We start from the raw sequence: 23,863 nt of genomic DNA on the forward strand, positions 1-23,863 counted from the left end.
TTCCTCATTAGACTTCCTCAATCCATAAAAATTACATTTTAATTTTTCACTTAATCCAGAAGTAAGCTCTTAATGAAACGTCCATGTGGCTAAATATTATTTGTTGCTTATACTTTATTTAATGGTTTCTATTGTCATTTTCAGGGCCAAAATCTATGACCTGCTGGATTTCTGCCATTATGAATTAAATGACATATTGTAGACCTTAAGTTTTTCCATTTAATATACTTTGTCTGATATTTGATAATAATATACATTCTCTCTTTATTGGACAAAAGGCTGCCCATTTATTTATATGCTTTAATCAAGCTTTCTAATAAAGTTATATAACATTATTTATCTATATTTATTTGTTGTATGCCAAGACAGTTGATTTTTTATGAACATTTTAATATAAACTAACATAAATAAAAATGTGTGAACTTTTTTTTTCCAAGGAAACTTTGGGTTGTTAAGTTTAAATTCTAAAGTATTAAGAATATAAATAATACCTTAGAATGACAACTAGCATATTGTATATGCTAAGTGCTGGCAACTCTGATTCACAAAATTGTCTTTTATTCAAACAATTCTTCAAATACAATATTATTTTGTAGTTTTATTAAAATTTATTTTTTGGCTTACCTAAAATTTGCTAAAAAATAGGAGGTAGGCATATTCTGCCTTTATAAATTCCAAGGTGAAATGGCAGTTTCAATAATTTTCTTTAGATACAGTAACTTATTTTTATCAAACAGTAAGTAAAAGTTTTAAACAGCAGTTATAGTCATATTCTCCATCCTATAACACAGAAAATTTTAAGTCATTCATTAATTGGGCTAAAGCCTTATTCTATATTATTACTCAAGAGTGTTTGTTTGTTTGTTTTGAGACAGAGTTTCACTCTTGTCTCCCAGGCTGGAGTGCAGTGGTGTGATCTCGGCTCACTACAACCTGCCCGTCCTGGGCTCAAGTGATTATCCTGTCTCAGCCTCCTGAGTAGCTGGAATTACAGGCTTTCACCACCACACCTGGCTAATTTTGTGTGTTTGTTTTTAGTAAACACTGGGTTTCATCATGTTGGCCGGGCTGGTCTGGAACTCCTGACCTCAGGTGATCCACCGGTCTCAGCCTCCCAAAGTGCTGGGATTACAGGGTTTAGCCACCGCCCCTCAACACTCCAGAGTTTTTGATGCCAACTGCCTAGAAAATATATTTTTATGGAATACTACAAAATAGAAATACATGTTTTGATAGGTACAAACTATAAAAGTTAACTAAAAAATTGATTATATAAATAGACATATATGAAAAAACAAAATTTATAAATAATTATATGTTAAGAGAACATTAAAATGTTTTCACATAAAAAACTCAGTGACAAATTGCTTAAATTATAAATTACATCAACTTTTAATGAAGAATTAATACAAATTATATACCAAAACTCAGAGCAATATAAGAAAAGGTGACATTTCCCAATTCATGTTAGTTAGTATTAGCATGATAAAAACGGTATACAAAAGAATCACACATAAAAGAAAACCATGAGCCAATATTTTGTATGAATATAGACACATAGGTTGTCAAAAATACTAACAAATTGAATCCAACAACATATAAAAAAGATTATACATTATGACAAAGTAGGATATTTTCACAAATGCAATGTTAGCAAAATATTCAACAATTAACCAAAGTATTGCATACTACTACTTGAGTGAAGGGGAAATTATTATTTTAACAGCCATAGAAAAAGCCAAGACAAGAAATCCAATATCCATTTGTAATAAGATTCACAGCTAGGTACTAATAGAAAGAGACATCTGAGTCCTGCTTATAGTCATCTATTAAAACCTACTGCTAACATAAATAATAGTGAAATAATTAGAGCATTATTTATAAGTTTTGAAACAAGACAAGAATTTAAACCATTTTAATCAACATTGTACTAGAGGTATTATCCAAGAAAATTATACTAGAAAAATAGGCAGAATTTTCCAGATTAGAAAAAAAACACAATCTTCTATTATATAATACATACTCTTCTACATAAAAATATGTGACAAATTCACTAAAAATTTAATAATCAATTAACATCACAACTACAAGACAAACATATTTACACTAAAATATTTTAAATTATAACATAAAAATCTTTTAAATAATAAAATAAATTGAAGAAACATTGAATAAATTGAGAGCCATCCAATGTTTAAGAATAACAATATTTAGTATTTAGATTAAAATAACCAACAAATTTAGATTCAATGCAAATTCCCAACTCTGTTTTAAAATAGAAATTGACAAACTTTTTATAAAATATGAATGTACAAAGAAAATAAAATATACACAACAAATTTGAAAAATAATTCAATGGCTTATACTAAAAATATCAATTCTTACTACAATGTTATAGTAGATAAACAGTATAGTGCTATTATGAAGATAAATCTAAGTAGAACAGTAGAATAAAATTGAAGGTCCATTAATAAATACATTAATATGGTAAACTTATTTTGTCAAAGATACCAATAAATTTCAATAGGAAAAAGATATTTTTGTGATTTTGGTTTAGGTAAGAACTTTAAAAAATAGAACACCAAAACCATAATCAAAAGGAAAAAACTAATGGATTGTACCTTATTGAAAATGTTTTATTCTTTAAACATTTCCATGAAGAATACAAAAAGACAAGATGTTCAATAAGAGAATAAATTTTAAATTACGTATCAGTTTAGGATGTAATATCCAGAACTTACAAAGAATTGTTACAAGTCAATAATGAAGCAATTAATCAATTTAAATGGACAAATATACATTATATAAATTTTTTTTCCAAAGAAAATATACAAATTGCCAAATTTTGTGTAAAAATGTGTTCAGTATCCGCCATGAGAGAAATACAAATCAAATTACAATGAGATAGTAGTAAACAGCCACTAGAATGGTTATAACTGAGAGACAATCAGTGTTGAAAACATGCAGAGAATGTGGAACCCATACACATTAGAACTGGGAATGTAAATATTGCAGTCATTTTGAAATAAAAATATAATTGGCTATTCCTCAAAATTTTGAATATATAATCAACATACAAAACATAAATTTTGCTCTCATGTATGTATGTAAAAGGAAATTTCTACAGCCATAAAAAGATTTTTATATGAATTCTCAGAGAAGCAAGATTTATGAAATGTACAAGTAGATACAACCTAATATCTATCAAATTGTAAAAGAAAAATAATACATTATCTATGCAAACATTACCACTTGATAAGGAGAATTACATAATGATGCATGCTTCAACAGGAATGTAACAAAAATATTAAGCTAACTTAAAAAAAAGACCCAAATGACCACATCATTTATTATTCCATTTATTATAAATCTTTATAATAGGCTCATATATAGAGATGTAAAATTTACTAATTTGTGTCTAAATCTGTCATGCTAAAGGAAAGAGAATGAAAATAGAATTCATTTTTCTTTAAAAAGATGGAAATATTTTAAAGTTATATTGTAACTGATTGCATAATTTTAAACATACTAAAAAGCTAGAAAAGTTACACTTCAAACATGTGATTACCATGTCATATAAAATATATGCCAGTAAAGTTCTTTAAAATACAAGCATGTCACCAGATGTTAAGGTTGTTCTGACTTTCAGAAGCCTGTCATGAATTGTGAAAACCAAATACATTTCTTATCCCTTTCAAGGAATAATAAAGGAAGGGGAAGAGGCAAGGTAACATGCTGAGGTTTGGGCTTCTACCCAAATAGTGAACATAGTACCTAAGAGCTAGTTTTTCAACATAATGGTAAATTTGTCTTTCCATTTGACCTTTCAGAGTTCCCAGTGTCTATTGTTTCCATCATTATGTCTGTGTATATTTATTGTTTAGCTCCTACTTATAAGTGATAACATTTGGTATTTGATTTTCTGCTTCTGCATTAATTCACTCAGAATAATGGCCTCCAGCTGCATCCATGGTGCTGCAAATAATATAACTTCATTCTTTTACATGGCTACATAGTCTTCTGTGATGTATATCTTCTTTGTCTGATCTACTGTAATAAGAAGATTTATTTCATGTCCTTGCTATTGCTAATAGTGTTGAAATAAACATACAAGTTCAGGTGACTTTTTGCTAGAATATATATATATATTATTATTTTTTCCTTTGGCTAGAGTTCTCTTTTCTCCACATCCCTGCCAATATCCTTTTTTTTTGTTTTGTTTTGTTTTGTTTTTGCTTGGTTGGGACTTTTTTACTTTTTAATAATAGTCATTCTGACTGGTGTGAGATGGTATCTCATTGTTGCTTTAATTCACATTTCTCTGTTGATTAGCGATGTTGAGCATTTTTTATGTTTGTTGGCTGCTTGTATGTCTTCTTTTTAAGAAGTGTTTATTTATGTCCTTTGACCACTTTACTGGAGTTATTTGTTATTCTGTTGATTTAAGTTCCTTAAAGATTCTAGATATTAGTCCTTTGTTGGATGCATAGTTTGTAAATATTTTCACCCATTCTGCAGGTTATGTGTTTACCCTGTTGACTGTTTCTCTTGCTGTGCAGAATTCCAATTGCCAGTTTTTGTTTTTGTTGGATTTGCTTTTGAAGTCTTAGTCATAAGCTCATTTCCTATGCCAATGTCTAGAAGAAATTTTTCTAGGTTATCTTCTAGGATTTTTGTTTTCTGAGGTCTTATATTTAAGTATCATCAATGTTGTGTTATTTTTTGTACATGGTGAGAGGTATGAGTCCAGTTTTATTTTTCTGCATATGGCTAGCCAGTTATCCCAGAACCATTTATTGAATAGGGTGTCTTTTCTCTATTGTATATTTTTTGACTGTTGAAAAGACCAGTTGGTTGCTGATGTGTGGATATATTTGTGGGCTGTCCATTCTGTTCCAGTGATATATGTGTCCATTGTTTTTACCAGCGCCATGCTATTTTGTTTAATATGGCTTTGTAATATATTTTGAAGTCAGGTAATATGATGTCTCTGGCTTTGTTCTTTTTGCTTAATACTGCTTTGGCTATTCAGGCTCTTTTTTGATTCCAGATAAATATTAAGATTGCTTTTGTAAAAAATTTCTGAAAATGGCATTGGTAATTTGACAGAATTGTGTTGTGTCTGCAGATTGCTTTGGGTAGTATGGAAATTTTAATAATATTATTTCTTCCAATTCATGAGCATGAAATGTTTTCCCTCTTTCATCTGCAGTTTCTTTCATCTGTTTTTTTTTTTTTAGTTTATCTTGTAGAGATCTTTCACCTCCTTGGTTAGATATATTTTTAGGTATTTAAATTTGCATACGTGGCTATTTTAAATTTGATTGCATCCTTGATTTGCTTATCAGCTTTTATTTTATTAGGGTATATAAAACCTACTGAGTATTTCACATTCGTTTTGTATCTTGACACATTATTGAAGTCACTTATCATGTCTAAGAGTCTTTTGGAAGAATCCTTAGAGTTTTCTAGGTATAGAATCATATCATCAGCAAACAGAGATAATTTGACTTCCTTTCTTCCTATTTGGATGCCTTTAATTTCTCTCCCTTGCCTAAATGCTCTGGCTAGGACTTCCATTACTATGTTGAGTAGGAGTGGTGAGAGTGAGCATGTAAGCATAACATTAATATAGGTCTTTTTGACCCTCAAGCTCTGAACAAGGAAAACATGAAGGCAAAAACAAAGATAAAATACAGTTAAAAATGCAGTGGCTGACTGAAAAATGTATGCCACAAGGAACACAGAGCACAGGCTCAATAATTTTGGGATTGTTTTTGTCATTGGTAGATTTATTTATTTATTTATTTATTTATTCACTAATTCATTCATTTAGTTGACTTTTAATCATAAAATTGCACATGTTTTTGAGATACAGTGTGATGTTTCAAAATATATGTAAATTGCATAATAATAAAATCAGGGTAGTTAGCATATCCATCACCTCAAACCTTTATCATTTCTTTTTGGTGGTAACTTTCAAGATTCTTTTTTCCAGGTAACTTGAAATACACAATATGTTATTATTACCTAGAGTCACCCTGATGTGAAATAGACACAATAACTTATTCTTCCTATCTAACTATAACTTTGTACCCATTGGCCAATCTCTTCTTATCTTCTCCCTTCCCCACAACCACTGGTAACTGCCATATCTACTCTTCTGTGAAATTCACTTTCGTAGATTTTGTAGATTTCAGATATAAGTAAGATCAAGGTATTTCTCTCTCTGCCTCTGGCTTATTTTATTTAATCCTATGTCCCTCAGATTCATCTATGTTGCCTCAAATGACAAGATTTTATTTCTTTTTATAGCTGAATAGTATTCTGCTGTGTAGATATAGCACGTTTTGTTTATCCATTTATCCATTTATTACATCTCTTCAATTTATTTGGCCATATACTCAGTGGGAGTATTTCAGGGTCATATGGTAGTTCTGTTTTTAATATTCTGAGAAATCTCCATATAATTGTGTTCTTTATCAGATATGTGTTTTGCAAATATTTTCTCTCACTCTGAATTGTCCTATTTGAATAGTGTCTTTTGCAGTGCAGTTTTATTTTTCATATAGTTCAATGTATAATTTTTTCTTTCATGGATAATTATTTTGATATATTAAAGAAGCCAATCCCAATGTAATTCAGATTCTTCCCTATGTTATCTTCTAGGAGTTTTGTAGTTTTGCATTTTACATAGGTCTATGATCTACTTTGGGTTAATTTTTGTGAAAGTTGTAAGGTCTGTGTCAGGTTTTTTTCTTCTTTTTGCATGGGAATGTCCAGTTCTTCCAGTATCGTTTGTTGAAAAATTATCTTTTCTCGGGGCCGGGCCTGGTGGCTCATACCTGTAATCCCAGCACTTTGGGAGGCCGAGGTGGGCAGATCACGAGGCCAGGAGATGGAGACTATCCTGGCTAATACGGTGAAACCCCATCTCTACTAAAAATAATAAAAAAAAAAAATTAGTCAGGCATGGTGGCGGGCTCCTGTAGTCCCAGCTACAGGAGCTGAGGCTGAGGCAGGAGAATGGCGTGAACTCAGGAGGAGGAGCTTGCAGTGAGCCGAGATGGTGCCACTGCACTCCAGCCTGGGTGATAGAGTGAGAGTCCATCTCAAAAAAAATGAAAAAAATTATCTTTTCTCAATTGACTTACCTTTGCTCTTTTATCAAAGAGAAGTTGAATATATTTTTTTGGGTCAACTTCTGAGCTATTTTGTTTCATTAATCTATTTCTCTATTCTTTCTTCAGTACCACACTGTTTTGATTACTGTAGCTTAATAGTAATTCTTAAAGCTGGGTAGCATTGTTACCACAACCATGTTCTTCTTCAATATTTTGGCTATTCTGTATCTTTTGCTTTTCTATAATAACTATAAAATTAGTTTGTCAGTATTCACAGTCTAACTTGATAGAATTTTGATTGGGGTTGTATTGAATATGCATGAAGTATGGAAGTAAAGACATTCTAACACTGTTGAATCTATTTATGAATGTGAGTGATCACTCTATTAATGTAGATATTTAATTTTTAATCAAAATTTTATAGTTTTTATATAGATCTCATACTTATTTTGTTAGATTTGTACCTATTTTATTTGTTTGTTACTAGTGTAAATGCCATTGTGTTTTTAATTTTAGGTTCTAATTATTAATTATAGATACAAAGAAAAGCAATTGACATTTGTATAATAATCTTGTATCCATCAAAGTTGCTATAATTGCTCATTATAATTGGTTATTCTAAGAGGTTTATTTTGTTTTGTTATGCTTTGGGATTTTTGCATCATGTGGGATTTTTGTGTCATGGCAATCATGTCGTCTGTGAAAAAGGAGATTTTCATTTTTCCCTCCCAGTCTATGAACTTTTAATCTTCTTATTCCATTAGCTAGAGTTTATAGTATAAGCTTGTATGGGGATGGTGAGAAGAGGCATCTTTGGCTTGTTCTCGATCTTAGCAGGAAAGCATCTAGTATTTCAGCATTCAGTAGGAGACTAGATGCAAGTTTTTTTGTTGATATTCTTTATCAAATTGAGAAAGTTTCCCTTTATTCCTAGTTTATGGAGAGTTTTTATCATGAATCAGGTTTGGATTTTGTCAAATGCTTTTTTGACATTGATGTGGCTATGTGATTTTTCTTTAGATTATTAATATAATGAACTAATTAATTTGTTTTTTGAGACAGAGTCTTGCTCTGTTGCCCAGGCTGGAGTGCAGTGGTCTGATCTTGGCTCACTACAAGCTCTGCTTCCTGGGTTCATGCCATTCTCCTGCCTCAGCCTCCCAAGTAGCAGGGACTACAGGTGCCTGCCACCATGCCTGGCTAATTTTTTTTTTTTTTTTGTATTTTTAGTAGAGATGGGGTTTCACTGTGTTAGCCAGGATGGTCTTGATCTCTTGACCTCGTGATCTGCCCACCTCGGCCTCCCAAAGTGTTGGGATTACAGGTGTGAGCCACTGCGCCAGGCCGATTAATTGATTTTCAAATGGTGAACCAACCTTGAATGCATGTGATAATTCTCACTGGGTTGTGGTGTATAATTCTTTTTATACATTTTTGAATTTCATTTTCTAATATTGTATTGAAACTTTTTACATCTATGTTTATGTGAGTTATTCTGTGGCTGTTTTTCTTGTAAAGTCTTGGTCTAGATTTTGTATCATGATGATATTGGCCTCATAGTGTGAGTTTAGAAGTATTCACTCTGGTTCTATTTTCTGGAGCAGACTGTAGAGAATTGTTATAATTTCTTCCTTAAATGATTGGTAGAATTTATTAGTAATCTTGTCTGGACTTGGTACTTTCTATTTGGTAAGGTTATTGATTATTGACTCAAGATTTCTTTTTCTGAGACAGAGTCTGGCTCTGTCGCCAAGGCTGGAGTGCAGTGGCGTGATCTCTACTCACTGCAAGCTCTGCCTCCTGGGTTTGTGCCATTCCCCTGCCTCAGCCTCCTGAGTAGCTGGAACCACAGGCGCCCACCACCATGCCTGGCTAATTTTTTTGTATTTTTAGTAGAGACGGAGTTTCACAGTGTTAGCCAGGATGGTCTCGATCTCCTGACCTCGTGATCTGCCCGCCTTGGCCTCCCAAAGTGCTGGGATTACAGGTGTGAGCCACTGCACCCGGCCAAAATTTCTTTAATAAGTATAATTGCTATTCAAATTATCTCTTTTTGCTTGAGTTCTGATAGGTTATTTCTTCTAAGGAGTTTTGCTATTTTATTTAGATTGTCAAATCTGTGGGCATAAAGTTGTTCATAATATTCTTTTATCATGCTTTAAGTCTTAGTGAGATCAGTAGTGATAACCCCTCTTTCATTTTTACTATTAGCATTGTGTCTTCTCAAACTAGAAGAGAAACTTTTCAAAATGGAAAAAAAATTTGATAAATTCTCAAATTTTCCATGATCTGCAACTGTAGGTACATAGTAAATACATGAAAACAGATGTTTGACAGAGCCTGCTAGGAACCTCTTTCCTGTGGCAAGATGGTATGCCTCTCAAGATGACAATCTCAGGCAGTAGAAATGTGAAAAAGAAAGAATGTGTTCTGTTCTCAGTTGGGAGCCATCATATGACTCTACCCCTCAACTGCACACAGTGATCTTAATGTGCATCTTTCTAGAAGGAAGCTGCATCTCAGGGGCTGCCACCCAAGCCATATGGGCCAGGGAAAGACTTGAGTCTGTTATTCATTTTAACAAATTATTGTAGAAAATGGCTAGAGTTTTTTTGAATGCTATTTGTTCACATTTTATTATATAGAGTAGTTCCTTAGTATTCCTGGCAACTTGATTCCAGGACTCATTTCGGATATGAAAATCCATGCATGCAAAAGTCCCTTATATAAAATGGTATGGTATTTACATATAATCTATGCTCTACACATTCTCTCATATACTTTAATCACTAGATCACTTATAGTACCTAATACAATGTAAATGCTATCTAAATAGTTGTTATATTGTATTGATTAGGGAATAATGACAAGAAAAAAATGTGTACATGTTTATTATAGATACTTTTTATAAAAACATTTTTGATTGACAGTTGTTTGAATCCAGGGTTGTGGAACCCATGGATGAGGAGGGCCAACTTCACCCATTTTTGGGGTCACAAATGTGTGTTCTTCCTATGTTGGTAAATTGAAAGTCATTTTACATATTGGTTCAACTATTTCTTCTCTGACACTTTCAAAAAACTTGAAAGAATCAGAACAAGAACTGCGAAAGGGAAGGGATGCTGATTGAGAGTTGGAAGGTTGCACATTTTCACAGAATTGTAGAATAAAATTGTAGCAAACATACTGGTAGAAAATTTTCTGCAACTGTCCTCAAACAGAGCAGTGATTGGTAGGGCAGGAAAGAGAAAGGTGGAATAGATTATAAATTAATTGGAGAAGAAAAAGATAAATCTTAGTACTAATTTGGCAACCCATTTCAAGCAAGGAAAATGTAGATGTTGTATCCCTGCTTTTTCTGAATAATTTTATTACCCTATGCAATAGGAGCTGTTATCACTGCAGAACCAAGGTCACCTGTGGAAGCTCCTTGCTGAAGCCAGTTTTCTATCAGATCATCCATCAGGCCTAGCAGGTACTGCTCTGAAATAAGAATGTAGCAATGACCAAAAACAACACAAATTTTACAATCTGGTGAGGCCAAGAAATTTTTATGAAATCATCACACAATTAAATATAAATTTAAATGGCAGAAAACTCAATGTCCAGTAGAAAAATGGTAAATTTATGACATTCTTTTGATTTAATATTATGCAGTCACTGAGTTCATTTCAAATAATTGTAAAATTTTCACAATAACAGCAGATAATTTTAAAGTATAATATAAAATTACAGATTATAATCTTTATTTTATAAAAATAAATGCATGTTTAGCCTCAAATTGTGGCTCAAATTATTACCAAGCAATAGAGGCTTGCTGCCCAATGTACTACAAGTCAATACTATGACACGGATTTTTTTTAAAGAAGGTGTTTTTTTTTTTTTTTAAATTGATTCACAAGGCAACAGAAGTCTAGCTTAAATGCATCTTCATATGCTGGCTTTATGGTAGTAATTTTATTAGGAAAACATTCATGGGGCGGATTCTGAAATTAGTAGGTTAATTGGTAGATAGTCATTTGAGATGACTGAATTTCAAGAAACTTAAATTTTCTTTCGCTCTTTCTTAGTAATGAATGCATTCATCATATATAAATGTATCCCACGGTCTAGAAAGAAAAAGCCAATGATAGAGAAGGTCGGAATCTTGTGTTTATTCATTAGTTGCCACGGAATGGGGCATTAAAGCAAATTAACAATATAAAAATTTTTGTGATGGGATATTTTACTCTATTTAATTTAAAATTGCTTAGATTTAAACTTTGTATTTTTTGTTTTTCTTTTATTGACACATAATGTTTTCCATATGCATGGGATACATGTAAGTATTTGTTACATGCATAGAATGTGTAATGATCAAGTCAAGGTATATAGGATATCATTTTGAATATATATCATTTCTATGTGATGAGAACATTTCAAGACCTCTCTTTCAGCTACTTCGAAATATACAAGATATTGTCAACACAAGTTACCCTAGCCTTCTACTGGGCATTAAAACTTACTTTTTTCCATGTAAGTGTGTTTTTACCCATTCATCAGCCTCTCTTTATTTCTCCCTCCCACCCTTCCACACTTCTGGTATCTATCATTCTATCCTCTGTCTCTATGAGATCAAATTTTTAGCTCTTATGTATGAGTTGAGAATATGTGATATTTGAATTTCTGTGCCTGGCTTATTTCACTCAACATAGTCACCTCCAGTTGCACCCATGTTGCTGCAAATGACATAATTTCATTATTTGTTGTGGCTAAATAGTATTATTCCATTGTGTGCCTGAACCACATTTTCTGTATCCATGGCTCATTGAAGACACACTGGTTGATTTCGTGTCTTTGCTTTTTTGAATAATGCTGTGATACACATGTGAGTGCATGTATCCCTTTGATATACTGATTTAGTTTCCTTTGTGTAAATAGCCAGTAGTGGGTTTCCTAAATGATCTGAAAGTTCTATTTTTACTTTTTGGAGAAGTACCTATACTGTTTTCTATAGTGGTTTTAATAATTTACATTCCCACCAAGAGTGTATAAGTATTATTTTTCTTCATATTCTCAACAGCATGTATTATTTTTTGTCTTTTTAATCTTAGTCATTCTAATGGGGTAAGATGATGTCTCATTGTGCTTTTGATTTGGATTTCCCAGAGGATGTTAAGCATTTTTAATTGGACCTGTTTTCCATTAATGTGTCATCATTTGAGAAATATCCATTAATGTCCTTTGACCCCCTTTTAATGAGATCTTTTTTTTATTGTTGAGATATTTGAGTTCCTTATATATTCTAAATATTGGTTGTCAGTTGAATACTTTGCAATATATTCTCCTATGCAACAGTTTGTCTCTTCACTGTTTTGATTGTTTCTTTTGCTGTGCAGAAGCGTTTTCATTTATTATAGTTTCATTTTGTCTATTTTGCTTTTAGTTGGCTGTGGCTGTGGTCTTAGCCATAAAATCTTTGCCGAGACCAAAGTTCTCATTTTTTTAAAATGTTTTCTTCTGGTAGTTTTATACTTTTAGGTCTTATGTTTAAGTCATTAATCCACCTTGGGTTAGCTTTTATGTATGGTGAGAGATATAGTTTCATTCTTTGGCATATGGATATTCAATTTTCCCGGCACCATTTATTGAAGAGGGTATATTTTCCTCAGTACACGTTCTAGCTTCTTTTGTTGAAAATCAATAGGCTATACAAACATAAGTGTATTGCTGGGTTCTCTATTTTGTCCCATTGGTTTTTTATTACTTTCACTATTATGGTTCTTTTTTTGTTTTCATACAAATGTTAGATCTGTTTTTTTATTTCTATAAAAACGATGTTATTTTGATAGCAATTGCATTGACTCTAGATTTCTTTGGACAATGTAGTCATTTTAATGATAATAATTCTTTCTATCCATGAGCATGAGATTTCTTTACATTTGTTTGTGTCCTCTTCAATTTCTTTCATCAGTATTCCGTAGTTTTCTTTGTAAAGATTTTTCATGTCTTTGATTGAATTTACTCCTGGGTAATTTATATAGCTATCGTAAACAGGATTGCCTTCTTGCTTCATTTTTTGACTATTTATTATCAATGTAGAGAAGCACTACTGATTTTTGTATGTTGATTTTGTATTCTCCAAAGTTGCTGAATTTGTTTATGAGTTCTATTATTTTCTTTTCTATTTTTTTCATTGATTTTCTCTCTTTTTTTTTTTTTTTTGTTGTTGTTGTTGTTGTTTTAGATGGAGTCTTGCTCTTTTGCCCAGGCTGGAGTGCAATGGCATGATCTCAGCTCATTGCAACCTCTGTCTCCTGGGTTCAAGCGATTCTCCTGCCTCAACCTCCCAACTAGCTGGGACTACAGGCACGTGCCACCATGCCGGGCTAATTTTTGTATTTTTAGTAGACACAAGGTCTCACCATGTTGGCCAGGCTGTTCTCAAACTCCTGGCCTCAGGTGATCCACCTGCCTCAGCACCCCAAAGTGCTGGGAATACAGGTGTGAGCCACAGTGCCTGGCCTTGTTTATGAGTTCTTATAGTCTTTTGTTGGAGTCTTTTCAGGTTTTTCTATATACAAAATTATGTCATCTGCAAAGTGGACAATTTGACTTCCTTTTGCAAGTCAATGTGGATGTCTGTTATTTTTTTCTCTTGCCAGATTACTGATTAGGACTTTCATGTTCAATAAGATTTGTGAAAGTGAATATTCCTGTTTAGTTCTAGGTCCTAGAGAAAAAGCTTTCAGCTTTTGTCTGTTCAGTATATTGTTAGCTTTGGGTTTGTCACATATGACCTTTATAATTTTGCAGAATGCTCTTTCTATGCCTAGTTTGTTGGGGGGGGGGGTTTAATATGAACAGATGTTGAATGTTTTCAATTGCTTCTTCTACATCTATTGACCTGGTTATATGGGTTTTGTCCTTCATTCTACTGAGGCAATTTATTTAGTGTATTGATATGTGTAGGTGACCATCCTTGCATTTTTGGTACAAATTTCACTTGATTGTGGTGTATTACCTTTTGATGTGCTGTTGTATTTGGTTTGTTAGCATTTTATTAAGGATTGTTGCATCAATGTTTATTACAGATACTGGCCTGTAGTTTTTGTTGTTGTTTTTGGATCCTTGTCTGGTTTGGTTTTAGGGCCTCTCAGAATGAGTAAAGCGTTCCTTTCTCTTATGTGTTTTTGAAATAGTTTGAGGAGGATTGGTGTTCATTCTTTTTTTATAAACTTGGAAGAATTCAGCAGTTAATAGATCTGATCTTGTCTCTTTTTTTGCTGGGAGACATTTTATTACTGACTCAATCTCATTACTCATTGATTAGTTCAGTTTTTCTACTTCTGATTCAATCTGGATAGGTTGTGTGTTTATGGAAATTCAATCATTTCCTCTAGATTTTCCCCTTTGTTAACATTTATAATATTCTCTGATTATCTTTGGTATTTCTGTGATATCAATTGTAATTTCTATTTTTTTATTTTGCTGATTTGGTTCTTATCTCTTTTCTTGGTCAGTCAAGCTGGCAGTTTATCAATATTGGTTATATTTTTGAATAATATACTTATCATTTCATTGATCCCTTGTATTTCTTTCTTTAGTCTCTCTTTAGTTCTTCTCGAATCTCTATTATTTCTTCCATTCTGCAAATTTTGGGTTTGGTGTGTTCACATTTTTTCACTTCCTTGAGGTGCATTGTTAGATTGTTGATTTGAAATCTTTCTGCTTTCTGATCTAGATGTCTATTGCTATAGCCTATCTGTTCTTAATGCTTTTGCTGTATACTATAGATTTTGATATGTTGTGTTTTCTTTTTTATTTCTTTCAATACTTTAAAAAATGTCAATCTTAACTGTTAATTGACCCAATGGTCATTTGGGATGGTGTTATTTAATTTTCATGTATTCATATAGTTTCCAAAGTGTCTCTTGGTGTTGATTTTTAGTTGTATTTTAGGGTGGCTTGAGATATTTGCTACAGTTTTTTTAATTTTTTGTTGTTGTCATTTGTAGCCTTTTTTTTTTTTTTTGAAATGGAGTCTTGTGTTGTCACCTAGGCTGGAGTGCAGTGGCATAATCTCAGCTCACTGCAACCTCCGCCGCCTGGGTTCAAGTGATTCTCCTGCCTCAGCCTCCTGAGTAGCTGGGACTACAGGCACATGCTACCATGTCCGGCTAATTTTTTGTATTTTTAAAGAGATTGGGTTTCACAGTGTTAGCCAGGATGGTCTCGATCTCCTGACCTTGTGATCCACCCACCTCGGCCTCCCAAAGTGCTGGGATTACAGGTGTGACCCACCACGCCCGGCCCATCTGTAGCCTATTTTTTTAAATGTTGACATTTGTAGTCTGTTATGGAGAATGTGCTAATATAAAGAATGCTTATTCTGCTGTTGTTGGATAAAATGTTTTGTAAATGTCTATTAAAATCATTTGGCCTAAATTCCAGTTTAAATCCAGTGTTTGTTTTTTGATTTACTGTTTCAATAATCTTTTTCATGCTGAGGTGGGGTATTGAAGTCTCCCACAATTGTTACATTGCAGTCTATAGTCTATCCCTCTCTTTAGCTGTAGTAATATATGCTTTATGAATCTGGGTATTCTGGTGTTTGGTTAATATATATATTTAGAATTGTTATATTCTGTTGCTGGATTGGTCACTTTATTATTATTTAATGAGTTTCTTTTTCTAATTTAAATTCTGGTTTATGTGATATAAGTATAGCTACTTCTGCTTATGTTTAGTTTCTCATTGCATGAAATATCTTTTTTCATGCTTTTACTTTCTTGTCTATATGTGTCTTAATAGGTGAAGTGCATTTCTTGTAGGCAGCCTGTAGTCAGACCATGTTTTCTAAATTCATTCACACAGTCTATTATTTTAAGTGAATAATTTAATTCATTTACATTCAGGGTTGTCTTTGATATCTAAGGTATTGTTTCTGTTATATTAATTATTTTATATATTCTTTGTTTCTTACTTTTTCTCTTATTTTGACATTGTTCTTTGTTAGTGTTTTGTTATGTTACCATAAGTCCTTGCTCTTCCTCATTTGTGTATCTGCTTTACCAATGGGTTTTTTACTTCTATGTGTTTTCATGGTTATCTTTTGGCTTCCAAGTTTAGAATTCATTTTATAAATAATTTTCATCTTAATTTCTTTGTTGACTTCATGGTCATTCATGTTATTTAAATATCATTTATTTGTATAGTTTCCAGAGTTTCCCTTGGTATTGATTTCTAGTTTTACTCCACTGTGGTCTGAGAAGATACCTAATCTAATTTCAGTATTTTAAAATTTGTTGAGACTTATTTTGTGGCCTAAAATGTGGTCTAATTTGGATAATAATTCATGTGCTGATGAGAAGAATGTATATTCTGCAGTTGTTGAGTAGAATGTTCTATAAATGTTTGTTAAGTCATTTGGTCTAAAGTCAAATTTTAGTCCAATATTTGTTTGTTTATTTTCTGTCTAGATAATTTGTCTAATGCTCTGAATGGCATATTGAATTTCCCTAGCATTATTGTATTGCTGCTTATCTCTCTGTTTCTGACTAAATATTGCTTTTATAATTCTAGGTGATGCAGCATTTTATAAATATATATTTATAATTATCATAGCTTCTTGATGAACTGACCCCTTTATTATTATATAGTAACCCTTTAGCCCTTTTTTAACTGTTTTTGACTTAAAGTCTGATTTACCTGATATAAGTATAGCTTCTACTTTTTGAGTTTGGTTTCTATTTGCATGGAATATCTTTTTCTACTCCTTTACAGGCAACATGAGTTTCTTGTAAACAGCATATAGCTGGAAAATGTTTTAAAATTTATTAAGCCAGTCTATATATTTTAAATGAACATTTAATCCATTTACAATCAAGGTTTACATTGATATGTAAGGTTTTGTTCCTGTTATGTTATGAATTGTTTTCTAGTTATTTTATAAATTCTTTAAATTTTTCCTTTTCTTTGATTGTCATGGTGGCTTGGTGGAATTCTGTAGTAGAGTCCTTTGATTCATTTCTCTTCCTCCTTTGTATGATTGCTTATACACCTGAGCACAGATACACACATGTGCACAGGCACACACACTCATGCGTGAATACGCACACGCAGCAGGGCAGAGTCCATCAGCATGGGTGACTTGGGGCCTCAGCCCCTGCTGGTCTGCCCCTAATCATCAGGTCCCAGACCTCCCTACTGCAAGCTACAGCAGGAAGAATAGAAGTTGGTTCCCTATAGGGTGCCCAGTAGAGTTCTCTCCAGCCTCCTGGGGTGCAGTGCAATGGAAGCATTCTATTGTTTCCAAGAGGGGCTCCAAGATCCTTTTGAACGCCCATTTAAATGTATATGAAAGAAGCCCCAAGGACCCATCATCTTCCCTTTTTAATGAGTAAGAAGTGGCTGTTCACAGGGCATCTATTTTATGCCAAGCAGTGGGCTGGATCCTTGACATACACCACCACTTTTAATCCTCCTGACATTTCTGTAAAACGGATTATTTCTCCCATTTAACAGATTGGCAAACAGGGCAGCAAGGTGTTATAGCCACCCCAGGCACGTGCTTTCCATGACATCTTTCACTTCATTTTCATATGCCATTCAAGACAGTCCCCTACACTGGCCAAGAAACAGCACAGGGACTGTGGGCATCAACTTCAGTACCTTCTCCAAACAAGGTTCCCTGGTGGGAATGCTGTTCCTCTCCTTCCTGTGCGTCCCACCTACCTCATCTTCCAAGGCTCAAAATATGTTCACAAGGAGCCTTCTCAGACTCCCCCACCGCTCTCCCCCAGCCATTCACTGTCTGCTCCCCCACTGCGCCATTCACTGTCTGCTCCCCCAGCACTGTGTCTGCCGACCACTTCTCCCCTCTTCCTCCCTACTTTACTCTGTCACTCTGCCATTTCCACTATTGGTTGATGATTACAAGAATGCACAGACTCTTTCTCTTTGCCCCTTGTGTCCCTCTGTAGCTACTCTGCACCCAGAAGTTGATATTACAGGAACGACCCCTCACTGACAGCCCCATCCTAGCTTGTCAAGAAACCTGATTTTCAGTAGATCTGAAGTAGTAAAGCATACATGTTTTTGCTATTTCTGTTTCCAATACCTGGAATTCAAAGAAACTAAGGTGTGGAGATGTCTGTTCCATACAAAATACACAAGTAGAAGGGGACTCCGTCTCGAAGCCTCTCTTCTCCCTTCAAGAGAGGTGACCCCCAGGAGCACACTCCTCTTCCCCTAATTCCTTCAACTCTCTTATACCACCCAGGGCAGAAATAGGGCTGTAGGTTCCTCCTTTTCCCCTTCCAAGCCCACCTTCACTGCCATGCTAGCATCTTGGGATGTGGCCAATCAACGGAGTGTCTCTTCCTTACTTCAAATAAGGCCATTTCTCAATACAATGCAATCTTTTCCTTATCCAAGTCTTATGCCCACAATCCATAATATACACACCTCTAATCTTCTCTCTGTTCCTAATCTATATCAGGCTTCAGAGAGCTCTGCACCATGGCTGCTAAAATTTCTCATACCGCTTGGGATGTTTGTTCATGGTCAGAAGAATTGAGTTGGGTGATAGTGTTTCTTTCAAATTTGGGGTCCAAACCGCTGGTGAGCTGGGGGTTTGAAAACAAAGTATTCAGGTGCCAATGACAGAGTGTAAAATTTAATACTTTGACATCAGACAGGTGTGGGTTTGGATCCTAGCTCTACTGTGCAGTAGCTGTTCACCACTGGTGAGTTTGCTTAGCCTTTTTAAGCCTCAATCTTCATGTCTGTAAAGTGAAATGATAGCACCAACCTCATAAGTTTGTTGTGAAAATTAAAATTACATGTTAAGAAGTTCTGGCATGTACTAGACCCTATCCCTGCAAGGACTGAGCTGTATTTCAACAATCAGAGATTAGAATAAGATGGCACCAATGCCCAGCAGAAGATGGTCACAGATGAGATGAGCAGCAAATAACATTTGTGGACTGACTTTATCAGAACTCAACAGAAACTGGCCCTTTGGCCTGCAAAGGTCAGATATCAGGTGAAAAATATATGGGTAATGAGTAAATATCATATCTAGGCATCAGGAAATCTCAGTTCTTAGCTCAGTGTCCCCATTCACAAGAAACAGAGCTCAGGGCTCCAGAAAAGCTGGTCAGGAAAAGTGGAAAATAAGATTTTCTGCTTTGCAAGCTTGTCTGGGACTGAGGTTGACCACTGTACAAGGTCATTTCTCAGTACAATGCAATCTTTATGACCTGGGGCCATTTTGTTTTAATGTTGCTTTATGAAATAGCCAAAATTCTTGAGCCAAGGACTGTGACCACTTTTAGAGTATTCTACTTTTTAAATGGAACCAAAGCCCTTCACAGAAGCACTAGGGAGAGGAGTACCCATTGCTTCTTCCAGCATTTTTTCTTGTCATCTCTGCCTACCTAGTATTGTAGAAGGAGCACTGAATTAGGATCCCAGGGATTCAGCTCCAGATTTGCCATTTCTTCATGGCATTACATTACTGCATCTAATGTGTTGCTCATGGAGCTCACCTCTCTGGACTTCTATGTCCACTTCTGTTAAATGGGAATATTTACTTAGCTTCTATTATTGAGTAGTTAGGAGATCAGGAGGGTGAATGCTTTTTGCAAACTAAGAGACCTGTAACACACGCAACAAATTATAATAGTATTTCACATGGCTAATCCTGAAAAAACCAAGGAAAATAATAATGATGATAATTATCCTTATTACCTGTCTATATACCAACGTATATATCTTCCTACAGTTCTTCCTCCTTTCTTATATACCCACCTACCTTTCTACATACTGAGCTAAAGAAGTCAACGAATGTTTCACACATTCAGTCGAGCTAATGAACACACAAACATCTGGTATTCAAAAGAAAACCATGCCCGTTAGTTTACAAACGTTGATAATGACAGGAGACAGGTAGAAATTATCTATTTACTAGAATTGTATGCATCTCTAAACACTTACTTACCATTTTTGAAATTAAGCTTAGAATTTCTTCATTACATAATAATAAACATACCTTAATCATTTTAAACCCAATATAATGCATTAAAGTATTTCTGATAATTGAATACATTTTTGAGGGTTAATTCATATAACCAAAAAATGTTATGACTCTGTGAGACATTCCTCCAGTTATTCAAAGGCTTAAAAGTTTTAAGAAGTATACAATGGCTGAATCATGAGAAATAACCCTGAGAAACTATTGAAGAAATGCTAATGAAACACGAGAGGGGAGATCAAATAGATGCTGAAACCACAATGAACATCTAGGCCTATAAGGACTGAGAGAGAACACTGATAAAAGAGAAACTGGAAATGAATGGGAGTGAAACTGCGTAGAGGTGATCAAGTAAAAGTACCAGGTTCAAATAGTCAGCAGCTCATCATAATCAATGAGCGAGGACATAAAGTAGGAAAAATGCATCACCATGGTGAGCAAGGAAAGCAAGTTATTGGAGGCACATGTTAACACATAAAATATAAAATTAATATGATCACACTGGAAAGGCTTGCCTGAGCCCACAGTTTGAATGCCTACAATAAGATGAGATGCACAACAAAAAGCAAGAGAACCTGATCAAGTGGGTGACCTGGCCATGGTGCTCTCATCAGTGGGGACCCAAATGCTTATGTGGACTCACCAGGTATCGAATTAGACATGAATAGGAGTGTTTGTTGTGATGGCAAGAAACTATATAATCAAATGAATACAATGAAACTTTAAAAATAATTGTAAGATCTTTACACCAGCCAATGTCATGTTGCGTACTAGCTGTTTTTGTGACTTTTAATAATAACACCTACTAGTTACTGAGTGTCATCATCACCAATGTCATGATTGCCACGATTTATTGAGTGCCTACTACATGCAGGCCCCAGGTCAGTGCTTTACACTCTTAACTGTCATGTTGACAACAGCTCTGAATGACAGGAGCTCTGTTCAGTGTTTTACAAGTGAGAAAACTAAAGACACTAATAATTTTTAAAAATATATCCACAGTTCTATGATTAGTAAGTAAGGGAGCTAGTACAGAAAGAGGTTTGTCTGACTTAAAGTGATTTGTCATCTTTCTTTTCCACTCTCCTAATCATGATCTGTTCCCCCTCCTGGCCCAATAACTTAATGCTTGTAAACTGAGGTCCACCCATTTATGGAAAACTCTTTAGTCACAGAGTTCCCTAACACCCTCCTCTGTCCCTGTGACAATGTATTGAAAATAACAGTTGAAGCCCCTCTAGAGGGTGGTCCAAGTTGACTAAATGGGTAGCAGTGAACAGCATTAAAAGGAAAAGAAATAAAATAACACACAGAAAATGTCATAGAGCAACATGCAGCAAAGATAGTTTTTATAAAAAGTGGTTTTTAATTACACATATGCCATATTTCACTGAATCACAGTCATCATTTATTGGAAAATGCAAAACTTTATGTATCACCCAGAAAGAAAAAAATGCTGCCAATTAATGGCAAGATGTCATAATTTGTAAAACATATCCAAATTTCAGAGATGTTCAAATGTGGGGGGAAAATGTGTATGTGAGAATGATAAAATACATTGTATGCATATATGCACTGGGTCACTGCAATATGTATTTCCTACTGTGGATCATGGCCAACAGAGTTTGAAAACCTCCATTCTTTGAGGTAGAAAAGCTGACTGGAGTATCTACGTGGTGGTTGGAGCTGCCAAGGGCACCCAACCTGGTCAACAAATTAGTGTGCTCAGCCAGAGGCAGTCCTGGATGAATTCAGGCTGCAAAGTGCCCTGTGACCTGGCCCTTGGGAAGCCACGCTCTGATGAGGTTTGCAGATCTCCCCGCAATCCAGGGCCAAGCATGAATGAAGGTGTTAGGCATTTCAAGGATGCGACTAGGACGTGCTGCTGTCTCAGGTTCACATTATACTGAAATAAGGTCCTGGCCAGACAGCACCATATAGTTAATTGAGGTGTTTGGGAGATACTCAAATGGGTGTTAATATTTCCCAGGCAATATTTTCAAGGCTCAGAGCCTCTATTCAAAAGATAACTGAAAGGCTAGCAAAGGGTATTGCAAAGGTATATTCTGATTTCTGACAGGAAGATCGATGGATGGACAGTGAGAGTATAAAGACCTTAGGGTTTGGGGTTCTGATTTGGCCTTGGTCTGTTGAATGATTGATTCATTCATTCAACAAATATTTATACAACACCCACAGGGGGCAGGCATTGTGCTGACTGTGGAAGATCACAGAGAGTGTGTCAGAGTGAAATTGACTTTGGAACTGTCTTTGGTGAGTCCACACCTTATTTATCCACTTCTGCTTTCTCCAGAGCTGCCTAGCCTGGTACGTAGGGGCCCTTTGCTGCAAGCTTAGGCCAGTGTCAGCTCCTGAGCCACTCCTGACTCAGTTGGAGGAGACTCAGTGTCCTCTGCCCCCTGCCTGGTGGAGCTTGGCAGCAAGTCCCAAGTTTTACAGTGTTGAGACCAAGTGGGCAGCCATCACCATTGAGGGGTGCCCTTTTGCTCCCCCTCGAGTCCAAGTTATAGTATTGCTTACTTCCTACCTGAAATAGTTTATGGGTCATGGGTCTGGCTTACATCAAGCCCCATAGCCAGTCTGGTTGCCCCACCTAAGGTCTTGGTGCTCTTTGATAATAGCCACAGCTAAATGTATTAGTCCTGTCCTAGGAAATGCATGATCTTCTCCCCAAAAATATATACACTTACTATGTATACATATAAACTAAAAATAAAACATTGGAAAATTAAGAAAAATAAATGTATGATCTTTTTATATCTCAATCCTTTCCATAGACCTGTGTGATAGAGCCTGTTAATATGCCCATCATGCAGATGAAAGCACTGAGACTTATTCCATTTCCTTCCAGTCCCTTTTGTACAGACCACACAACTGGTGCCAATGGCGTCGCTGCCTGACTTTAAACTGTCCTGCCACTAGGAACCCTCACTGTCCAGCTCCATAGTGCAACCAGAAGGAGGTGAGGTTTTGGCATCTTCAGGGAGTATCCTCAGTCTTCCTATGTTTTGGAATGAGTTCCATTTCGCTGCAAAAAGAGGAGCTTCTGGGATGATAAAATGAGGCATATCCTGCACCACTACATGTGTCCATACATGATCTGAGCAGGAAGAGCAGTGGACAAGGAGTCTGGAATGCTGGCTCAAGTTCTGAGTCAGCCACAGCCTGCTGTGTGACTCTGAGTGAGTCACTAAGCTTCCCTGGATTCAGTTTCCTCAACAGTCAAATTTCTATGGCCTTTTGGGCACCACCATGCATGAGAACACAAAGAGAGCATGATTACTCAGGGGTGTGTGCATGTGTGAGGTAGGTTTTTCTGTTTTGTTTTGTTTTGTTTACATTTTCAATCTGTTTAGCTTTCCTCACTGAGTCCTGTCCATAGCGACGTGCTGGGCAGAGGAATAGAAATGTATATAAGCTGGGCTGAAAAATGGTGGTAGAGGAAAGGAGATTCTATGAAGGATCCAGGAAGCCACCCTAGGGAAGGGCTGTCTCCATGGAGAGAGGAAAAGGGTCAGGCTCATCCTTCTCTGTAGCAGAAATAGGCAGCCCAGCCTTAACCAGGCCTGATTTCAGCATCAAAGCAAGTTACTCTGTGGCCTAAAGAAGACTCCTTCTCCCATGGGGTCTATGTTGCCGCCATTCCTTTACTAGGAACAGAGTTTTTCTTTTTCTAAGGTAGGGACTCAAGTGTAAGTGT

General features: G+C 35.2%; 1 long non-coding RNA gene across 1 annotated transcript; it reads left to right on the plus strand.

The window, feature by feature from the left end:
* Positions 1 to 10,518: 10,518 nt before the first annotated feature.
* LOC107984175 (uncharacterized) lies at positions 10,519 to 23,465 on the plus strand. The gene is made up of 3 exons (XR_001747290.1): positions 10,519 to 10,599; positions 22,342 to 22,416; positions 23,015 to 23,465. It is a non-coding gene; the product is annotated as an uncharacterized LOC107984175 (long non-coding RNA).
* Positions 23,466 to 23,863: the final 398 nt, after the last annotated feature.

This window comes from Homo sapiens, chromosome 10 (assembly GCF_000001405.40).
Source record: "Homo sapiens chromosome 10, GRCh38.p14 Primary Assembly".
NCBI classification, from domain to species: domain Eukaryota; kingdom Metazoa; phylum Chordata; class Mammalia; order Primates; family Hominidae; genus Homo; species Homo sapiens.